General features: G+C 35.5%; 1 protein-coding gene across 40 annotated transcripts in view, besides 2 other annotated features; it reads left to right on the top strand.

The window, feature by feature from the left end:
* Positions 1–15916, top strand: part of SOX5 (SRY-box transcription factor 5) — a 1033147-nt gene extending 1017231 nt beyond the window's left edge. For all 40 annotated transcript variants that reach the window (XM_024449159.2, XM_024449158.2, XM_047429458.1 and 37 more), the window contains 3 exons: positions 2036–2209; positions 8751–8967; positions 10898–15916. In XM_024449159.2, coding sequence (XP_024304927.1) covers positions 2036–2209; positions 8751–8967; positions 10898–11201 — 695 coding nt within the window. In that variant the 3' untranslated portion in view covers positions 11202–15916. The remainder of the gene's footprint in view (positions 1–2035; positions 2210–8750; positions 8968–10897) is intronic.
* Positions 2766–3296: an enhancer, noted in NCBI's record as "NANOG hESC enhancer chr12:23695058-23695588 (GRCh37/hg19 assembly coordinates)". NCBI's record gives its function as "activates a minimal SCP1, AML or CMV promoter by ChIP-STARR-seq in primed H9 embryonic stem cells {active_cell/tissue: H9 hESC(primed)}" and the evidence as "EXISTENCE:reporter gene assay evidence [ECO:0000049][PMID:30033119]".
* Positions 6609–6778: an enhancer, noted in NCBI's record as "experimental_26611 CRE fragment used in MPRA reporter constructs". NCBI's record gives its function as "activates a minimal promoter by MPRAs in K562 erythroleukemia cells, with activity observed for both the introgressed and non-introgressed 12:23691661 variant alleles {active_cell/tissue: K562}" and the evidence as "EXISTENCE:reporter gene assay evidence [ECO:0000049][PMID:34662402]".

Below are 18867 nucleotides of genomic sequence, written 5' to 3'. Positions count from 1 at the left end.
CGTAGCAAAGAGGGAAAAAGAAGGAAGTGCTGTTCTTCTTATACAATACCCTGACCGGGAACATCTCTCTACTGTCAGGTGGCATCCATGCATTTTAAGCATTCCTTTGGCAGTACCGCCCTCAACTTTGTTACTACTACAGGGAAGTTCCCTGCATATAGAGAAGAGTGCACAAAGGCAAACCAGTGAGATGCATACTTTGAGAGGGGGTCCCCTTGAATCCTCCAATATACACAACTGTTTACTCTGTGCCTTGGGCCAATTCTACTTTTAAGACCAGGTCTATACTAATCAAGGGACTAAACAAACCTGAACGTTGAAACACGTAATTCTATCAAAACTGAATTTTACTCAATTGGATTCAATTTGCATTTTTCTGGGTCTAATGTTGCAAACATTTTCTTCTATTTTCAGCTCCACTTAGCTAAGATAAACCTAGCCTATGTACATTTAAAGAGCTTGTTTAGATTTGATGAAGACACATAATGTTCATTTTATTGCTTATGTTGCTGTAAGGTGTAAGAACAAGAAAAGGCAGATGTGCAAATGATCACTTGCTAGTTACAAACCCATTTTAGGAAGATGTTGCCATATATTTGCACTTATTTTGTCAATAAAAGACAATTACGGGTAATAACACATTTCATAAATTTTAAGTTGTATTAGCATGATAAAATATACCCACAGTAATCAGCATTAACACATCAAAGTTTTTGTTGCTGTCATTACCTAAATTCAATCATGCTTGTATGTGAAATATTTTCTACTTTTCATTAAATCAAAGAGCATGTTATTAATGAAAAATATTGAGAAACTTCACCAACAGGTATGCTATGTTTTGAATGTGCTGCTATAGAGGTCTTCAAGTTTGGGCAATTTTGTTTGATTCCTGTGTCTCCAAATTTAAAAATAAAGAAAAGATGAGGAATGAATACAAAGCAAGAAAAGAAAAGCAGTGCTTTTGTTGATAATACAGTCTCTACAAGTCCCCAAAGTATTTTTAAAGTTTTGGATACTATCAAAATACATCTACTTATTTTGTGATAATACCCAGTGAAAACCTACTGTCAGAGTTCTACTGGTTCTCCTTATTTTCTCTTTGCCTAAACTCAAGTATCTTGGAAGCAATTTAATCTGCTGAAGCCATTCTAAGGGGTCACATAAGGCTGGAGGAGTGAATGCAGCTTCCAAAGCTATCGTTGTTAACTCTTGAATTGTGTTTTATCATCTGTGAATCTTACTGATTGAAATGTGACTGTCCATGGGACTCTTTGGATAACTTTAAATATTAGGGGGAAAATTCAAAGGAAATTATTATTTTTCTCATCTTAAACATGTGACTGTAGACTCCTTAAGAAACTAGAGGAATGTAACTGTTCATTTGTTCTTTTCCATACCAGTTTTACATATATTTTGGGGGGCAGACCTGTCATTGCTGTATCAGCATATGTCATGCATTTGTCAGCATATAATTTCAAAGAAAAGCCAATTATATTACAGGGAAATACCTATATTGTTTTTAACCTCAAAATTTGGTCAGTGTTTTTATTTTTGTAACCTCGGAGAGAGAAAGAGAACATAAGGTACTATATGTTCAGACAGTCTTTAAGTAGCAAAGATATATCCTCCCCTATAATCATCCATTCTGCCAAATTGATTTGTGCTTCTTTACCTATTTAATGTTTCTACACTACTGGTATGCCTGTTGATTTAATCTGACTATCCTCTTTCCGAATTGCATCAAAAATCACATATCGGAGTTTATTTTGAGCTGTTGAAAGTAAATGGTGAAACAGTCCATTGAAAGAAAGAGAAAACAGATTAGAAATTGGTTAAAAATACAAATATAACATTTGCCACCACAAGGCTTATCAGAAAAACTTCATAAACAAGCATCTGTCTTAAGAACTGGAAGTACCATTATCAGAAGTACTTTTTCTTTTCAGATATCTTAATAGACTGAAAAATAGGAATGCAAGGAAAAGAGCTGACAAAAGTTTTAACGCTAACACGAAGTGATGTTTCCTGTTTTCAGGAAGTGCTGGAGTCTCAGAGTCAAGAATTTATAGGGAATCCCGAGGGCGTGGTAGCAATGAACCCCACATAAAGCGTCCAATGAATGCCTTCATGGTGTGGGCTAAAGATGAACGGAGAAAGATCCTTCAAGCCTTTCCTGACATGCACAACTCCAACATCAGCAAGATATTGGGTAAGAAAACCATTAAGAACTAAGTGACGTATGGAATAAAGGTACTGTTCTGTTTTCTGCAGTTGTGGAAGGATCCTGGATTTGGAGGCCATACAGGTCGTGTTATTTGCTTATCCAGAAAATAAACATCATCATTGAGGCTTCTTCTGGTGATGAAGCATTCTATGTCCATTGAGAAATATGCCATATTTCTATAGCTCATGTAGCTGTTTGTCTTCATACTAATTATTTTAATGCTTTATCTTCTTCAAAAATCTAGAAATATTTTTACTAAAGCTGAGAAAAAAGTTGCTTTCACATGAGCCACTAGATATTGCTACTGATCATTTGTATTCATTTCCTTGCATACTATAGACAACTTACTGTTAATCTTAAGGCCTCCTTCCTCTCTCATCATCCTCTGTAACAGAAGGATAAGGAGTTTTATTTGCGGAATTCATCTTGTTGTGGGGGTGAGGGTGGAGGTGGGGAAGATGTTTGTTCCAGTGCTATAATTGAAAATCAGTTTTAGATTTTCAGAACACAAGAAGATGTAGAGTGTACATTTTTACATTTATACTTTTAGTAACCTTAAGTACTAAAGGTACTTTTAGTCATACTAAATACTTTTCTGCCATTGCAACATTCAATTGAACAGAAAACAAAGTACGCATTTACTCTACCCACACAGAGACTGTAGCACACAGGAAAAATGGTTGGGGAGAAAGGGTGCTGATTATAAAGATACCTATTATAGACCAGTTCAGGTCCCAGGGGGAAAAAGAAAAAAAGAAGATTCCATTGCTTTTGTGCCTTATCTGACATCATTATCACTGTCATTGTCATTCATCACTGTCTGATGGCCAGATACTAGACAACCTAAGAAAATTTTGATGATTCACTCTGTGACTTCTAAGAGTTAAGTGACAAAAATAGAATAGAAACATTTTATCAGAAAATGTTGGTTTTAACAAATAAGTAACAAAATTTGTCAAAATTATTAAAGTTTTATTAGAATTCGTAAGGCACTTGGAATTACACGGAGTTTATAAAAATAGTATCACTTTTGATTCATTACAGATCATCTATAAATGGCAAACATATGCATGAGGTTTTGTTTTGCAGATGGAGTCTCGCTTTACCGCCCAGGCTGGAGTGCAGTGGTGTGATCTCGGCTCACTGCAACCTCCGCCTCCCGGGTTCAAGCAATTCTTCTGCCTCAGCCTCCTGAGTAGCTCGGATGACAGGCGCGGGACACCATGCCCAACTAACTTTTGTATTTTCGCAGAGAGAGGGTTTCACCATTTTGGCCAGGCTGGCCTCGAAGTTCTGACCTCAGGTGATCCGCCCACCTTGGCCTCCCAAAGTGCTGGGATTACAGGCATGAGCCACCACGCCCGGCCGTATGTTTTTATGATCCCATATTCTCAACAAAGATAATAGATGCCACCTAGTCCACAAGGTGCATTTGTAATGGGATCAAAACAAACCATTAGCCACTTAAAATTGTGTCTCATTTTTCACCTAAATGTTATCTAAAAAGACATGAACATGCAAAGCTTTCAGTAGTATACATAGAAAATATGAAAATCTGTGTGTAAAAATATATATCATGCATAATCAAAAACTTGAACTGATCAAGAGGAAATACACATTTTTTTACATCTCTACCAGCTCTGATCTATTTTTCCCTTTTGTGACTATATTTTTTGTGACTATATTCTACCTTCCATGTGAAATTTCCTATCTTTAAAAAACAACATACCAGTTTCATTTGGGAAAACTCTAGAAAAGAATACTTTATGTAAGCATATTTCATGTTTTAATATATCAGTTATTCCCAAATTAGAAATCCAAAATTGTCAGAATAAAAACCAAGTTAAATACTAAGATTTCAAAACTGTCTTTATATTATTCAATTCTTGTGTCTGAATACCAAAAAGGTGATAATCATTAATTAAAACTATCTTAACTATAAGAGAAATATCAGTTTTGATGATAAGAAATGATATTTTAGGAAATGTAGCAAAAGTATCTATGGAAAAGAGATGACTGGCTATGAGAATTCCCTTCTGATTTGAGGGAAAGAATATTAGAATGACCATATGATTATATTATAATAGACAACATGAAAGAGAATACTGCCTAATTTCAGTCTTTCTGATGAAAATGTATTCTTTAAAGATATAACATTTATATTTAGGAACAAATAAAACATTGAGGTATTTTGGGCTCAATATTTAGTCACAGCTTTAAATAAATAAGTGATCTTCAAATATCCACAAGATCATTCTAAATGACCCATTTCATACAAAAGTACAAAGAAAGCTTGATGTTTTCCTCTTTGCTGATTGTTTTGGATAACAGCCTCCGACAGCATGCCGCTAATTCATTCTGCTTAAAACAGGCGCTTGAGCTGGGTTGACATTTTACGTAGTCTCTGGGGATCGTAGTTGACATTTTAAAGGGCTTCTAAGCATTTTATAATACCCTAAAATCTGGTTTTAATAAGCCATTCTGCTGAAATTGTTAACATAAGGAATCACCTTTTACTGCTTGGCGCTAGATCAGGGGAAGAGGGACATCTTTTTCTGATTAGATATACAGTAGTTTAGTTGGAGTAAAATGTGCAAATTCACTACAGACCCCACGGAGATGACAATGTTGCCCAGCGCAAACTCTTCACTTTCAGTGTATTGCCAGATTTAGAAAGGAAAGGAATAATCGTTGGACCTTATTTTTTCCCCTATTTTGAGCATCAAATACTTTTGATTGAAACTTCCTCTTTTGTCATCAGGAGGAAAACCCAATTGTCCTTCTCTGCTTTTTATTATTATTATTATTATTATTATTATTATTATTATTATTATACTTTAAGTTTTAGGGTACATGTCCACCATGTGCAGGTTAGTTACATATGTATACATGTGCCATGCTGGTGTGCTGTACCCATTAACTCGTCATTTAGCGTTAGGTATATCTCCTAATGCTATCCCTCCTTCTCTGCTTTTTTATTCTAAAACGACAACCTTTTGAAAGCAGCAGGGAATGAATAAACTCCCTGTACATCAGTCCAGAGTAAGCAGCCAGCCACCCCCAAATCAAGTAGATATTTTTTCTCTCTTTTTTTTTTTTTATTGTTGTTTATCCAAAATATTTTCCTGCCATTCTCATCAAGTATGTTTCAGGGGTTAGTTAACACCTCAGCTGCATACAATGGTTATAGTACCTGCAAAGCCATTGAAATCAAAACCAAACTTGTCAGTTGGTTAAGCTAATTCAAGGTTACTATTTTGAAAATGAAAACTGGATTTACCACCAAATGGAAACACTGCCCTGTACTGTCATAAAATATAGTAGTCAGTCAGCCATTTGACCCGGTTAGTACTTAGCCTATCTTTATTCTTAGTTTTGAAAAGACTTGGAATTATTATATGGCCATATTTTAAAGTGTAATTTAGGATTCAGTGATACTCTCAAAGAAATTATACTATCAAGAGTTAAACTATTTTATAATTCCCGTTCATGCCAGATTTGGAAGCCAACTTATCTGAGAATTTACACATCTTTTATTATCCCATTTCTTTACATACACGCATCTTTTTTTCCTCTTTTTTTTTTTTTTTAAGCCAGACCAGCTTTCTTTAAGTTAGTCTAACTCCTCTTTCCACCGAAAGACCTCAACTATTATATTCTTCCTCAATAGGATGCTCTTCTCTTTGTGAGCCCCACGGGAGTCATTTCTACAGCAAAGCCTTCCTGACCTGCAGAGGATTGATCTTGCCTCATCATATTCTCTTACCTTCCTGTACTTTCTACAACTATAAGGAAAATAATAAATTTTGTAATTAGATATTTAATGTATATTCCCTGACTGAATATAAGCTGCAAAGAGACAGGAACTATAACTTTCTGTATTCACTCACTACTATATATTTATTAAGGAATGAATGCAACATTATGTACATAGTAGGAAATATACAAACAAACAGCTCTCGCATTCCAAGGCAGATTACTTCTAAGCATAAACATTTTCTTTCCTTTGAGAGGCCAAAGCCTTTTGGCGTATAGATCATTTAAACTTAGGGAAGAATCTTTGGCAATTCCCCTTCTAATTGAAAATGCTTGGCCAGGAGTGGTGGCTCACACCTGTAATCCCGGCACTTTGGGAGGCCGAACCGGGCAGATCACGAGATCAGGAGATTGACACCATCCTGGCTAACACGGTGAAACCCCATCTCCACTAAAAATACAAAAAAAAAAGCTAGCCGGGCGTGGTGGCGGGCGCCTGTAGTCCCAGCTACTCGGGAGGCTGAGGCAGGAGAATGGCGTGAATCCGGGAGGTGGAGCTTGCAGTGAGCCGAGATCACACCACTGCATTCCAGCCTGGGCGAAAGAGCAAGACTCTGTCTCAAAAAAAAAAAAAAAAAAAGAAAATGCTGGTTTCGTTTTCGAATTTTGGGATAAAGCTAGCTAATAAATTTTATATTAGATCAACCATCCTTGATCCATTTATCAGTGTATTCCTATTTGTGAGTTATTTATGGTAAGCTCACTTTCCACTCCCTGATCTGAAGTTCAAAAAACTGGTATAAATGCTTGGAAGAAACTCAATGAAAACGGTTGTTCTAGTTCAATAGGATCATAACCATATCTGTGTTTATATAGGCCCTGAGAATAACATAATGGTATTCAAGTATCTTCAGAGAATAATGCTGGGCCAACAAGGAGTTTGAGATTGTCCCTACAAATGATATGGCTTGACCAACCAACCTAATGTTGGATGATGCTATTTAAACAGAAGTTTACGAAAGGAATAGAAAAAGAAACTCTATTATTTGCACTGTAACCTGAGTTTATACTGTAAATAGAATAAATTCACATTGGCTTTCTAGATTTGGAAAAATCTATATTTATACCTATGCAATACAATATCTCTTCCAATGGTAACATTTCTAAGGGAAGAGATATTGCCTCTTTCACTGTATGCTTTAATAAATGTAACAGCCCATATTGAGGAACTCTTTACATGTGTAAGGAAGAACTATTCAACAGTGAGCTATTTGCATTTAAGATAGGGAGTTACGGGTGAGTAATGAACTCATTCGAAAGATTCTAAGATCTTACTTAGATGACATTTGAAGGCAGGTATAAGGCCATTTGGTAGGGATATCCTAGTTCCAGTTTATCGGTCTTTGTGCATTCGCGTTGAGTTGAGATGACTATTTGCAGATAAACACACTTCATCTGCAAATAGATTTTTAAATCACTATTAAAAAAAAAAAAACGCTATTACTACTGAGGGCTGCCAGCACGCTGTCACCTCTCAATCCGAACATCAGAAGGAACAAACTCCGGACACACCGCCTTTGAGAACTGTAACACTCACCGCGAGGGTCCGCAGCTTCATTCTTGAAGTCAGTGAGATCAAGAACCCACCAATTCCGGACACATTACCACTTCTATTACACATAGCCATACTGACAGAATCCAAGTTTTAAACCATATCTAAAATGTGAATTAGCATAAACTATTTTTATTTAAGCTTCAAACTTGTCTTTTTTAATCCCAGCTAAATTCACACCAAAATTAATAGTGAAAAGAAAGGGGGAAAACAATTTGGGTTATTATTACTAAAGCAGACTGTATCATGGGAAGTGACGTCTTTGTATGTTATTGAAATTGATTTATTAAGAGAAAATCGTAATACGCATTTACAGTAATTGTGACCTCTGCTATATTTTGTATAGTAGGTGGCCATATGTAGGAAAGGGCATACATTATAGCACAATTTAAGTTATATCAAATCTGAGTTTGAGTCACAGATCTGTACTTCAGTAATTATGACCCTGGCTAAGTTAGTCCATCTATTTGAATCTCAATTTTCTCATCTATGAAAATAGATAGAAATGCTGTCTCTTTTATAAGATTGAGGTGAAAGGTAGGAAAAAGACATCAGTATGTCAAGGTTTCAGCACAGTGTCTGGCACATAGTAGTTACCCACTCCATGTTTATTAATATTATAATTTTAATTATAATTAAATGTTTAATCAAAGGAATTTTTAATTACTACCATTCCTGTAAGCTTAAAATACTTAAACATTTTGGGGAGGATGAGACTACATGATATATGTTGGGAACTTTTGTAGTAAAAAACATCTCCCACATAAAAATATTCAATAACTAGATAATTAGTCTCAGATTCAAAATGCATGATAACATATCATGTAACTTTTCTGTTCACATGTGAATTATATCATGATCTAATGTAGAAATGAGAAATGTATCCATTAAATTATCTATGAGCTTTAAGGGACATAATACAAAAGTTTGGCTAGAATGCAAACCAGAAAAAAAAAAATACTGCCCAGTGTTTATATCTTTAGGTACAAAACCACCACCACCTCTGTTCTTGTGGGATCTCACTAATCAAAAACAGGTTTATGTATTTCTGGGTTTTGGCTAACATCTCAACTTTAGATTTTCTTGTTCTCAGCCATATCACTTTCTGGAATGCTTAGAAGCTGTGCAAATTGGAATCCTAACCTCCTTTCTTCATAGGATCTCGCTGGAAAGCTATGACAAACCTAGAGAAACAGCCATATTATGAGGAGCAAGCCCGTCTCAGCAAGCAGCACCTGGAGAAGTACCCTGACTATAAGTACAAGCCCAGGCCAAAGCGCACCTGCCTGGTGGATGGCAAAAAGCTGCGCATTGGTGAATACAAGGCAATCATGCGCAACAGGCGGCAGGAAATGCGGCAGTACTTCAATGTTGGGTATGTACCTTTTAGTCATTTTTCTCATGGGGCAAACTTCCTGTTATACTTAATGGGATGTGAAACATATTTGTTCAGTTGCAAAAAGACATTTTGAAAAAGAATCTGAGCTCACAGTATTTTCAGAGACAAATAGTCTCCCACATGATCTTGAAAAATATGTCCATATGAATCCACTGCAAGTTCCTAGCTCTACCATGAGATTTGTTAACAACTGGTTTAAAAACAAGATATCTACAAGCAAATGATTTTGAAGTTTTCTATTAAAAACTTAGAAGTATAACTGGTTCTTTTCTTCATTGGTTTGCATTACTTCCTAAGCTTCACCATGATAAATTCTAAAACTAACAACTTTGTTGAGACAATACAAAATAAAAATCATTTCAAAAGCAAAAATACTTATTTCTAAATATAGAGAGGTTAGTGAGCTATCAAGGTACATGTGTGGCCTTTGTGGATCACACAAGCTAGGGATTATATTTAGGGTGTAACAAGGTTGGGAACAGGAGGTTTCATTCTGAATTGAGAACGCAGCTCCGAGATGTTTTACAATGCTCCCGTGGCAAGGTTGTTGACAGTGCTGTAGATGGGCTACAGAAATGCATTGCTTCTATAGAATTCTCTCAAAAACCCAAAATAAAGTTGTTCATATTTGAAACAGAAGTTAGTTTCTAAGAGCTTCTTAGAATAATAAATATTGTTCTAAATATGGGCAGAGAAGGACTCATAAAACCTTTCCAAATCTGCTCTGTCCCCTCCAGTTCCTTGGAAGAGGCTGCATGCTCTGTCCAGTGGTCTGTGATTCATATGCAAGCACATGACTCCTCACAAAGCTAAACACAATGCCCAACAGTTCTTGGGCAAATAGTAAACATACGAATGAATAAAAACAAGCATAAATGCACATCATCTATTCATCCTTTCCAATAGGACCACCTACATTATTTATAGGACCAGATGCAAAAATGAGGAGACAGGGTCTCTTGTTAAAAAGTTATTAAGAATTTCAAGTCTGTGGCAGCACAACTTTAAACCAAGTATGGGACCTTAGTGCAGTTGCACAGTTTGTACATCCATGAAGCTGCTCCTGCTTCCTACCACTACGAGGCCAGAACTGTTTCAGAGACTCAGTGGACAGTGTGAATTTGTTCAGTTCTGGTGTGTTCTGGGCAGTAAAGTTTTATTTTGAGAACTCTAATGCTTTAGGATTTTCCCATTAAAATTTAATTATCTTTAGATTTAATTCTAGGGAAAAATACTATTTCTGCATGTTATAATGAAAGAAAAATGAACTTGGAATCAAGGACCTGGGTTCTTCTGCTTCATCTTTCTGCACCTCAGTTTTTTAATAAAACAGTAGTAACAAACAGGATTAAGAATAAGATGGACAACACATGTCAATATCTTGTACTCTATAAAGCACTACCTAAACATAAGGTATTAGGCCTGGTGCGGTGGCTCACGCCTGTAATCCCAACACTTTGGGAGGCCGAGGCAGGTGGATCACCTGAGGTCAGGAGTTCAAGACCAGCCTGGCCAACATGGTGAAACCCCGTCTGTACTAAAAATACAAAAGCTAGCCAGGTGTGGTGGCAGGCGCCTGTATTCCCAGCTACTTGGGGGGCTGAGGCAGGAGAATCGCTTGAACCCTGGAGGGGGAGGTTGCAGTGAGGCAAGATCACGCCATTGCACTGCAGCCTAGGCAACAGGAGCGAAACTACGTCATCTCAAAAAAAAAAAAAAAAAAAGAAAAGAAAAGAAAAACAAGGTATTAAAGTTCAAGTAGGATGGAGTTTGAAAAATGTTAGGCAATTAGATAAAATTAGTACCTTAGAATTGGACATTGCTGAGCAAATTAATTATGTAGTAAAGTCCACATCTAACTATTCACTTACCCACGATGTCTTTTTGGAAATTCCTTTCTTGACAGGCAACAAGCACAGATCCCCATTGCCACTGCTGGTGTTGTGTACCCTGGAGCCATCGCCATGGCTGGGATGCCCTCCCCTCACCTGCCCTCGGAGCACTCAAGCGTGTCTAGCAGCCCAGAGCCTGGGATGCCTGTTATCCAGAGCACTTACGGTGTGAAAGGAGAGGAGCCACATATCAAAGAAGAGATACAGGCCGAGGACATCAATGGAGAAATTTATGATGAGTACGACGAGGAAGAGGATGATCCAGATGTAGATTATGGGAGTGACAGTGAAAACCATATTGCAGGACAAGCCAACTGATAAGGGTCAAAAGATTGTTGTGACCTTAGGACTTAAAGAAGCCCTAACTGGTTCATCCTTACCAGTGGCCAAGCACATTAACTTTCTCATACACTGACTGTTACTTTAACTGTTAGTCTTAAATAGTTGGGACATCAGCTGACTAATAGACCTCAGCCTCAAAAGGCTTGGAAAGAAAAAACAAATACAACAAGCAAACAACAATATCAACAACAAGAGATTGAAATAAGCTATGGGTAAAATAATGCCAGTAATTCAGCTGCTACATCCAAGCACTGAAGTCTTACCCGTCAACTTTTTTTTTTTTTTAAATAAACTTTATGGCTGTTTGTTCTACAATGTTCTAGAAATTCTCACTCAGGTACACAGTGCCAACAAGTGGCTTGTGAATGTGTTTTGTTGTTTTGTGCTACAATTTTTAAAAAGAAAAAAGTTTTGTTTTGTTTTTTGGGGTTTCTGGGTTTTTTCCTTTTCTTTTTCTTTCCTTTCATTTTTTTTCTTTGTAATGCACCTGACAGAAAAAAAAGAAAAATGAATTTCTCTTTACTTCTCTCCACCTTCTCCATCTCTCTACTTTAAAGATGGAAGTCTGTGCATGAGGGGAAAGAGGGAAAAAGAGCCTGTTTTTAACTTCCTTGCTATCCACCACAAAATAAGCAATTATTTTCTTTAGAGGACTTTATCTATTGCACACCACACTACATCTTTGAGCAAGTGCCAAATTTGTACTGAAGTGTTGACCAAGTTCATTTTTTCTCTTTACTTTTTCCTTTTCCTTCTTAAGTTAGGACAGTGTTAAATCTTAGACAATCCCTTGAAAAACCTGAAATACCAGCAGCTGGTGAGATTTGACTTTTTTTTTTAATGGAAACTGTAGGTGCTGTTCTCAGGTGAAAAGAGAGAGAGAGAGAGAGACATAAGAAATTTAGAGAAAAATATTTTCTGATCTTGGATTTTTGTGTGTATGTATGTATGTGATTATGGTACTAATAATAGGAATAACGTTGGACCATTGTGAGTTAAACCCACATCTGGGGATGAAATCCCACATCCTCCCAAGTGACTGGTCTAGAAATAATCTTGACCTTGACTTTGCACTTCAAATGACAACTTAACCAAGTATAGGGCTCAGAAATTATATTTTTAAATGTCTGATTATTATTGGATGGATCAGGTGGCCCTGTGTAATAGAGGTGTGCATGTATAACATGGAAGCTACTAGCAAACTGCTCCCAGATGTCCTTTCTCCCTGGTCAGTTGGTTCCATTAACGTTTGCTACTTAGTGATTTTTGTTTTTCCTGTTGATATTTTGAGCAAAACAATCATTGTTTTCATTGAATATATTTGGCCATTTTTTCAGACAAATAGAATTAGCTTATTTCTTCAACATTCCATCCTTTCCCGATCAGGAAATGAAACTGATGATTTTATAAGGTATTTTTCACCCCTCCATGAAGTGAGGTGGAGGCCTTTAGCATTTCAGAAGTGTGGGCCATATGTAGTTCATGCCATAAAAAGTAGGATTTAATTAAAAGTCATTGCAGCCCAATAAAATGGAGCCTGGCTGCACCCAGGGATCCTTGCCACTGCTCTTCCCTTGCTGTCAGATTAATCCACTGAAGTCCAACTTTGGTTCAAGCAGAGTATTTGCAAAGAGCAACAACTGAATGTGATGGGACTGCTTATGTAGATTTTGCCAGCCAAATGCCAAGGCAGTTGTAGGGCCTGTACAAATAAATGCAAAATCATTTCAAGTCAATTGCCATTATTTGTATTGAAGTATCAGATAGATAGTAAATACTGCAACTAGTAGCTTGATGTGCTATAGTTTTCACTCCAGTCATCATTTTCCTATCTCACCCCCCGAAACACCACCCTAAAGTTGGATTTTTACATATAAATAAAAAAAGAATCCCTTTTATTTTTCTCTCTCTCAGAAGACTTGCTCTGGGGTTTTGCTTGGAGGAGCTGATCATATCCTGCATGTCAGAGATTTCATTTTGTTTGTTTTTCTGTTTGTTTGTTTTTGATGACTTTATTTACATTTGAACTGCCTCTTTTTGCTAGTGTTGTAATGATGATGATGATAAAATAATAATAATAATAGTAATAATAATAATAATGGTCAGCTGTTCCCAGATTAGTAAGTTATGTATAATTTATTTTATTTCTCCCTTTCTATTTTATTCTGCTCTGATTTGGAAGTGCAGCCAATAAGCTGTTAGATATTTAAAACAAATTTCCATCTCCAACTCATATATGTATGTATATGTATATATATATATACATATATATACACACATATACACACACACACACACATTTACCCACAATTTTACTTCTCTTTCCGTAAGTTTTCTCTTTTTTAAGAATTTTGGCCCCAACAATATCAGTTCTGATGTTTAAAACAAAGGAGTGAATTAATAGGAGGGTCGTGTTCAATCTTAATTAACTTATGCTCTCATCACTCATTTTAGTTATTTAATTGCCACAGTCATCTAGAGCCAATTTTTTTTTGTTTTTGTTTGTTTTGTTTTTAAGCACTCTGGATAAGGAAAAAATAGACACTTGTTTTTATATCATTTTTATGTACAATGTGAAAACAGATTTTTAAAAAATTTGTTCTCTGTCTTTGTTAACAAATTCCTTCCGATTTATGTGGGTTCACCTCTCACGTTTGCTGGATACTTACTTTACACCATGTTATGAAAGATGCTTTGTTTTCATTTCATGAGTTTGGGCTACAAGAATACTTTGTTTTAGCTCCAGGTAGATGCCATTGAAGGCATTCATGGCTGAAATCAATTCTAACACACTTACCGATGAATTGACAACACTTTGGTGTTTGGTCTTTTTTTTGTTATATTTTGTTTTATTTGAAGGGGAAAACAAAATTGTTAATGGTGACTTTTAACTGCTGAAATTCAAAATTTGATTTTAGTTAGGTTTATGTCCGAGACTAAACTGTGCATGAACCGAAACAAAAAGCAAGTTCATACCGCTGCATTCTGTTCTCTTGTTCTGACGGTTAATTCACTGGACATCAAATTTTCTTTGCCCTAGTTTTCCCCAAAAGAAAACAAAAGCAAAAATAGTTATATTAATGTTGAAAGTGCTTTGAAGTCACTTGATAAAAGGTGCTATGAATAGCAACTTACTGTGTTACTACATTGCCTTTTTGGCATTGGTTGATTTATAATTTTGGTAAAGGATCCTAAAACCCTGTATTCTTTTTCTGTGCCCCATAATGACCAAAAAAGATAAAGAAAATGAGAGTAAGATCAAAAGATCAAACTAAAACATAAACAGTCTCCTTCCTGTCTGCTTTCTTACCTATCTGTTCACACTTTATCTCTTTCCCTTTCTCTCTCTCTCTCACATGCGCGCGCGCGCGCGCGCACACACACACACACACACACTTGCCCCAACACTGAGAAATAATCTTGCCAGAATTCTGGTTTTTATAGTTGTTGTAGTCCGTTTCTCTAAAAATAGTCCTGTTTTCATATGAATCTAAGAGAACATTACCGGAGAAAATAAAGTTACTCATTTATAGTTACTAATAATAAGTTAGTGATTAACTTACCACAATTGGATAAAATATAAAACTATTCTTCAGCACATTTATACCTAAATTAGTGAAGTCCATTTGTGAAGTTCATTTGGCATCTGCAGTTAAGAGTTAACCATGTATAAAATCCCTCCCAAAGAACATAATCATCGTTAGAACCAAATCCTCTTATAAAGAACAAATATAAAAAAGTTTTCTGTGGTGAAGCTATTTTATAGATTTGATTTCCGGAGTAGAATTTTACCTTAATTCACTTAAAGAAAATTAACCATTTTTTGGTCCAACTTCAGATATTTTCTTAATCCAGAAGCTGTGACTGTTCCCAGAAGAAACCTCTTATATCACATTTAAAACATAAAAAATAATTACACTTTCACTCATTCTAATGGGTAAATTGTTGAATTGTAATAAACAACTGTATATTTACAAACAGGTTTATAAGGTATTTGTCTATCAAATTAATAATAAAATAAAACTTACGGGGTCTGCAAGGAAAACTATGAAGGCCACTTAAAGTGGTTCAGGTATCCCTTTGTCTTGTAGGGCATAGCTGTTGGTTTAGCCAGGCTTTTACAGTATTTAATTTTAAAGTATCCTATAACTATCAACTTCCCAGGTTGAAGACGATGTGTTGAGTTTCCTACTGATTGATTGATTCCTGTCCTCCCCAGTGTTTCCGTCACTGGTTCACTAAAACAGTATTTATATAGCTCCACTGGCTCTAAAGCTCTTAGTCCTTCTAATATTTTGGATTTTACAAGTAAAAATGGAAAAAAAATAGAAAAGAGACAATCAAATGCCTGGAGCTTAAAACAAAGTATGTGCAACCTACCATCTCACTTGAAATTTAATAAAATAATAAGTAATTATGTAAATATAACATAGAGTTATAGATTTATATTTTGTTCATAACACATAGTGTAATATAAGTTGTATATTTTCATGTTTTTGGTTTTATGTTATCATTCATGCCACAATAAAAATAAAACAGGAGTTTATGTGCTCTTAAAAAAAAGATGTGGGTTGCCACCAACCTGTTTTTCGTTTTTGTTTTTTGTTTATTTTATTTTATTTTTTTGCATTCTCCTTTTTCAGTATTACTGCCATGCAAGGCACCAATAAAAACAGCAAATGTGTTCTTTACTTATTATACTGTGTTTCTTTTCACAATTATTGTTATGAGGGTGTAATTAGTTTTATTATGAAAAGAACAAAAGTATGGAAATTTAATTTTGTTTTTAATATAAATAATCCCTCTTATTGAAGTTGACTTTAAGAACTAAAGGTTTAATTTTTAGCTGTGGACATTCCCAGAAAGACAGTCAGGACTTGATATAATGCATTTCACTCAGACAGATCTAGCTTCACCATACTGTCAAAAGATACTGTTCTTATATGTAATTGATTCAACACAATTGAAAACCCAACAGTCTAAAGCACCTTTAATATTGTTGTTTTCCCTGGCTGGACACTATCCTTGGGTGGGGGATGGGGGGTTTCTATGCTTTAGAATTGTGCTTTATCCTTTCGTTTGTATAGAAGATTTATAAATTTCAGATCATGAAATTACTAAGAACTATGAATAATTTTCACCTCGCTGGTATCTCATTTTGAATAATGGATATTTCTGAATTGTTTAACATTAGCCTCTCAGTTCTACCTTAAACTTTTTTAGTGAATGTTAAAAACAAGAAGTCTCCTTTCCTTTCAATGGCCATTTTTGCTTGTCTCTTCCACCATAATATGTTTTTCTACCTTGATAGTTCTATATGTAATAGTTTCATTTAAGGGTGTTTGCTGGTTGGTTGGTTGGTTGGTTGGTTGGTTGGGTGGGTGGGTTTTCTAAATAGGTATCAAGACAATGGGTCAGGTAACATTTGGTTCAAATGAATACAAGTATATAAAAGGGTTTATTCTGGAAACACTGCCCACTGTATCCCTTAACAGAAGTATTTTACAAAATCTGGTCCACGGACCACCTACTTCAGAATCAGCAGTGAAAAATGTAGATTCCTGGGCCCAACCCCAGGTGTAGTGAATCAGAATCTCTGGGGATAGAACAAAGCTTTTGCTATTTAACAACTCTAAATAATTCTGCATACTCTGATGTTCCAAAACAACCAGGAGGTGGGGATATTTGTCTCTTCCTCTGCCTACCTTATCTTTGCATGTCAAATTCTGCAGCTCCTATTACCTACCATACTTTCTCTTTAGGCCTCTGAGAAAACCTTGAAACAGGGTCAGTAAGTAGGCAAGGGTTTGAGGTTTTAAGGAGCTCCCAATCCCTCTATTGTTTGGAGGGCATTTGGTCCATCAGAACCAGGTTGCCACTCCTTGTTTACCTGTCTTACGTTGCCCGTCATGGCAAAGCAGTAGACGTCAGAGACTCCAGGCAAGTGGAACACTAAAAATATAACAAACATGGAAAACTACAAGCCACTTAATATTTGCAAAACAAATTGATGTTCTTTGAAAGGAAAATATCCATTGTAGAAGATGAGAAGTAAACATTCTGTACAGTGTTTATAATAGACCACCTATGGCTACAATGGTCATGATCTCACCCTACGTTTCTCCGGGAAATAACATTACCAGGATATGCTAAGTATTATGTGGATGGGGAAAATCTTGCTTGTTTAGGAAACTTGGCTCACCAAGGTGGAAAGCCCCAACCACCACCCTCTTTCTTCTACCAAATAAAGTTTACTTGGAAACATTCTTTTCTTGGTTTTTTAGTTTCTTATGTAGTATTTATGACTAGAATATAATAATAGATTATTTTCCTATTGCCAATGCCTTGAACAACAAAAACAATACTGGCAATAGTGAAAAGAAAACACCTTGTTTTTAAAATCTCAATTTTGCTAATTTTAGTTGCTGGTGTTTGAAGTTCACGTATGTGTTTTTAAAATCGGTATACTGTCATTCTTACCAAATTTAAAAGTTCTGAAGTCATCTCTATAACTTCACATCATCACTGAAACCTCAGTTATAACAATGGAGGTGAAGGTAAGCATGAATTAGTTCAATGTCTGATTTAAAGAATATTTATGAAAAAAATCCAATCTATTTTCTTGAGTTTCTAAAGCAATCTAATAGCTAGCTGAGAAGACCTGTTTTATAAGTAAGCATTGTAATTAGTATGTAAAGTGTATGCAATAGTATTGCTAAAAGTTCTCTAAAATAGTATGTTTTCTTAAGGAGGCTAAACATCTGTCCTACAATTTTAGTTATTCTACCAATTTGCTTAGCAAACTATTTTTACCACAAAGAATGAATTGGTTCAGCTCTGTTAACAATATATTATTTTTCAATTAGGTCCAGATACATGAGCTTTTACTCCCCTTATTGCCAGTTTCTAAAGATGCAAACAAATATGGAATGGAATGGTACTTTTTTGCTATTCAAAATATAACCAAGAGGATAAAATTTGTGTTATCATTGATGTCTCCACTGATACAATTTAAAAAGAAAAAAAAAAAGCTACAAGAACAATTGTAGGAATTCAGTAGGCCTAAGTAAACACCACTATTTTGTACATTGCTTGTTCAATTTATTCTTAAATTTCACAATCTGGAAAGCAATCCTAATTACACACAAACTGTAAAATATATTTGAAATAAAGTCTTTTGTTTATAAAAATTACTGCTGTGACAACTTTTTTCTAAATTCATGTGGTCCTGCAAGAAGGTAGGGGGACCCATAGAACATATTTAGACAATTATTTACACCAAAGGCTGACTGTATTCAACTTACTCCAGCATTGGCCCTCAGTAAGGATTCTTTTTGCCTTGTATTTCATACCTACAATTACGTAGAGTACAAATTTAAAATTGTGGTTATATGAACCTAAGTTTCTTTAGTCTTAAATTTCTTTTTGGGACTATAATCAGTCACTAGTAGACCCCAAATAATTACACAAATTGTCATTTTTATTTGGAAATGATCCTTCTAGCAACATTGTCTTCCACTGGGTAGGCATACATGAGCAGAATTAACAACCTGGTTTTCTATGGGAAGATTTTGGGGGTTTTTTGTTTTGTTTTGTTTTTTGAGACAGAGTCTCACTCTGTTGCCTAGGCTGGAGTGCAGTG

The sequence above is a fragment of the Homo sapiens genome, chromosome 12, assembly GCF_000001405.40.
Source record: "Homo sapiens chromosome 12, GRCh38.p14 Primary Assembly".
Classification (NCBI taxonomy): Eukaryota; Metazoa; Chordata; class Mammalia; order Primates; family Hominidae; genus Homo; species Homo sapiens.
Note: the sequence above shows the minus strand (reverse complement) of the source record. Positions and strands in the feature narration are given on the sequence as shown.